General features: G+C 46.3%; 1 annotated feature.

The window, feature by feature from the left end:
- Window positions 3,792-3,961: an enhancer, noted in NCBI's record as "active region_15256". NCBI's record gives its function as "activates an Ori minimal core promoter by ATAC-STARR-seq in GM12878 lymphoblastoid cells {active_cell/tissue: GM12878}" and the evidence as "EXISTENCE:reporter gene assay evidence [ECO:0000049][PMID:35858748]".

Raw genomic sequence — 4,247 nt, forward strand, 5'->3', positions numbered from 1 at the left:
TTAAGCTATTTGATGTTTTGGCTTTTATGGTAGGAAAAAACATCTACCTGTAGAATGTTCAAATGAGTTGTCCATTTTCACGTGCACATTACAAACCAGAAGAACATTTATCATATAAGGTAATGGAAGCCTGTTTATGTAAGCTTGTTATGTTCAAGGCAACAAATTCAGAGTGTGTAGGCTGTACGTACAATGCAGTTTTTAAATCTGCTTACATTAAAAATTCTTTCTTTTCTGACATCTTCTGGTTCCTTTTTTCCTTATCACAAGGTTTCCTGAGCTGGGCTCCATAGACATTAAGAGACTTCTGGATGCACCTCAGAGGTGCCCTCAGCCCCCTAAAGTTGTGGGGCATATGCACTCTTTCATAGTGGCTTTCATCTGATTTTCAAAGGGACCCTTGCCCCGCAAAGTGGCCTCTGATTATGCTTCTCGTTCATAGGCAGGGGAGAAAAATTTCCCAACAAGACCTGTATATGGATAAGCCACCTAGCAGAAAGAATCTCAATTCTGGATCAGAGAGACCTGGGTTCACGTCAATTTGCCAGCTGAACTCTACTTTTGGACAAGTTAATTAAATACTGTGATTCTGAGCTGCCTCCTTTCTGTAAAATGTGGGTGATAGCATTTGTCTAGTTTACGAGTTACTGTGAGGATGAAATTATTTGCTCTCTGTAAGCCCCAGCACACCATTTGTGCTCAATGGCTGGTAGACCCCTCAACACTAAGGAAAACCAGAGCTGCCTCCCCAGGGTAGCTCCCAGCTCACCAGCACATCCTGCAGAGCTGTAAGACTAAAATGCAAGCACAACTCAGTCAACTAAACCTCACTGAAATCAATGTTTCTTTGCCTTCACAAGTTCGATTTCTCCTCAAGATGGTTTCTATGCAGTCCCCGTGAGAGTTGACTGAGAATCACCATACACCAGATGTCTAATCCCCAGGTTCCAACACCTCCCTCATGCAGCCACTATAAGAGGAAAAATGGCTTCCACACCCACCCAAAATCTTCGCTGCAATGCTGTTTTGTCCTTCCACCTTGGCCAATAAAGCCACTTCCTTGTGCTTGAGGCACCTCAGTATCCCACTTCTACTTCTTTCTTGACTTTCATTTCTTATACCTTGTCTTGAGCCACATCCTCTGTGCTAGAAACAGCTCCCACTTCCTGCTGGCCCAGCACCTCTGAGCACTTCCTCTCCATGGCTATACTCTTTCAGGAGTTTCTACACCCATATCACTGGGGGCTGTTTCTAAACCCTCCTCCGGTTGGGAAAGTGGAAAGTTGGTAAGTTCCCTGTAAAATATGCTGTGTGCTAGAGACCAGGAGGCCTGTCCAGTTCCCTATGTCCAATATGGGACAGCTCAGAACCTCTCATTCCCACCTCTAAGCAAAAGCAAGAGTTTTCATGTGAGTTTCTGAAACTTGGCACTTAATGCTGTTGTTCTCATGGTGTTGAGATAAGGAATACGGGTCAGTGTATGAACTCCAGCTTCCCCACTAACCGGCCTGCGATCTTGAGCCCTTAACCTCTGTGAGCCTCAATCTATTAAGTAGATAAGACGCAGTCTGTATTCAGATGACAATTACAAGGTTGGTATTAGATTCTATGGTCAGGCAAGACAAGGCCTGCAGGAGGGAGGAAAAGGGGGATTCTTCCTGGCTGAGGTAAGGAGGAAGGGAACATCAGAGCTGAGCCCTTCCAATTCCCATAAGCCCTATAAAGTTAGATTTATGTAATAAGTTTATTATAGAAGAATAATAGTAACCATTTATGGAATACCTACTTGGCAACAAGTGCTAAATATGCCTTGTTCCTTACCCTGGCAACATGGACCTTCGTGTTCCCATTTTGCAGATGTGGAGTATGAGGCTGAGAGGTACATGACTTCCCTCCAAAGCCTGGTGGAACCAAGTCTGTCTGGAGGCCCTACCACTGCCACACACCTTCCTGGTGTTATTTGTAGCTCTAGAAGAAGAGAAGGACTCTAAGGTCAAAGGTGTTAGAGGTATTGTAATGAGATGATGAACCAGGAGGCCTCTGGCATTCCCTCTCCCTCTCCTAAGATGGTCCTTCTTTACAGACATGGGCAGAACTAAAGCCTTGGAAAGAGCCTAAGCAGACAAGCAGCCAGGGAAAAGGGCACCCAGGTCCTGGCTGGCACCAGCCTGGCTATGGAGTCCTCCCCACAGGAAAAAGATGCCGATGTCAAGAAACTCAAGCTTAAGTCAGTAACAGCACCCTGATGGCCTTGGTCACTTCCTCAGGGCACCTGGACACACCCCAAGGCCTTACAGAATTTCAAATTTGGTTCAATGGCAGTGTCTGATTTTCTAGACTTACAAATCTGTAGATTATCCAGAAGAGCAACCAAAGTGCAATTATTTTTATGGTGGTCTCTGCTGTAAGACATTTTGCAAATTCAGAGTCCTATGCTTCAGAATGAAAGCTCTTCCCAAACTCCAGGGTCAATGGATTAAAGGAATGGATCTGGCTCTTGGCAGTGCCTGGGATGGCCAACATGCAAGCTCCCTAACCCCTTACCTCCTCCCTAACCCCTCACCTGTGTTACAGGTGAGACAGCCCTGTCGGTTCTCCTAGGGAAGGGGAGATGCATCAAACTGATGACAGCTACAGAGTGCTGAGACACGGAGTGGACATGGACACCAAGATGGCCGTAGGAGCTGCTGATGAAGCAGTGCCCGAAGTGACTGCTATTAGGAATAGCACAGAACGAGTTTCTTCATCACCTCCTTCGAGAGGGTGCCGTGATGGAACAGACGTAATTTTCACCCTCAGCTGGGGTGGACACCCTGCTATACAGTGATTAGCTCTGTGATCTTGAAGAGGTCATTTCAATTCTTGGCCCTTTGTTTCCTCATCTGTAAAATAGGGTTGACAACGTCCACCTTACAAAGGTTTCATAAGAATTAAAGGAGAGGGCTGGGCACAGTTGCTGACACCTGTAATCCCAGCACTTTGGGAGGCCAAATAGGGCAGATCACTTGAGGTCAGGAGTTCTAGACCAGCCTGGCCAACTTGGTGAAACCCAGTCTTTACTGAAAATATAGAAATTAGCTGGCCGTAGTGGTGCATGCCTGTAATCCCAGCTACTCGGGAGGCTGAGGTAAGAGAATCGCTTGAACCTGGGAGGCGGAGGGTGCAGTGAGCCAAGATTGTGCCACTGCACTCCAGCCTGGGTGACAGAGCAAGACTCTGTCTCAAAAAAAAAAAAAAAAAAAAAAAAGAGAGAGAATCAAAGAAGGGGATGTGGGAAAAGCCTTTGGCCCATAGTAGGTCTTCAACAGAAGGGAGCACACTTTGGTGAGAGCCTGAAAGGTTAGCGACCTATAGCTAGGCTTCTAAACAGAAACCCCAAGAATGGGATTCCCCATGGCAGCCAGGAACCCCTGCAGCCTGCAAGGTGTGTATATGGCCCAATGGGCCCACCATGGAAAAGAGCACCACCCCCTGCCCTAATTAGCCTCAGGCGCTGAGGGCCCTTAAAGAATTGTGAGAGATCTCTGATGCACAAATTAGATGCATTTGCCAAAGGAAGTTACAATGTTTAGCTTTCCTTCTACTTCCAGAATCAAGTGCTCCAAATAAACACTTCCAAAAGTGCAGGCCTAATGGCTGCATTAGGTGCTAACAAATCGTTAAAAGGTGGATGATTTTTTCTCGTGGTTTCTCACCCAACTCCCCCCAGCAGGCTTCCTCAAATGATTGATGGTCTCCATGGCAACCGTGGAAGTCCTGCTCACCTGAATTCCCCAACCCCGTCACTCAACCAGTTTGCAGGACAGTCGGGACTGCACTGAGCCCTCCGGGATCCCTGAACAAAGGTTATTTTGAAATAGCTTACGTGGCCAGGAGGTGAGTACTTTGTTCCTGAAACCAGGTGCTGAGATGACAAATACTTCCCCTTAACGGTTGGGGCTTCATCAGACAGGGGACCGTAGGTCTGATGTACATTAGAATAATCAGATGAATTGAAACAAGGAAGAGCATCAACCAGGCTATAGGCCTGTGAGCAATTTCTGTAGAAATGTAAGCCAAAGAAGTGATGTTAGGCTCCACAAGTAGCCATTGTTTGTAACATTTCTGCAATAGCACCACCTGAAAAAGCAGCCACTTATTGTCAGGGCTCTTAAAAAAAAAATAAATACTTCCCTAAAATCAGCGCAGCACACGTCAGTATAACGGCTGTCACCTGCTAGCTGTTTGGACCGTGCTAAAACCTTTTT

Source organism: Homo sapiens, chromosome 2 (assembly GCF_000001405.40).
Source record: "Homo sapiens chromosome 2, GRCh38.p14 Primary Assembly".
NCBI lineage: Eukaryota > Metazoa > Chordata > Mammalia > Primates > Hominidae > Homo > Homo sapiens.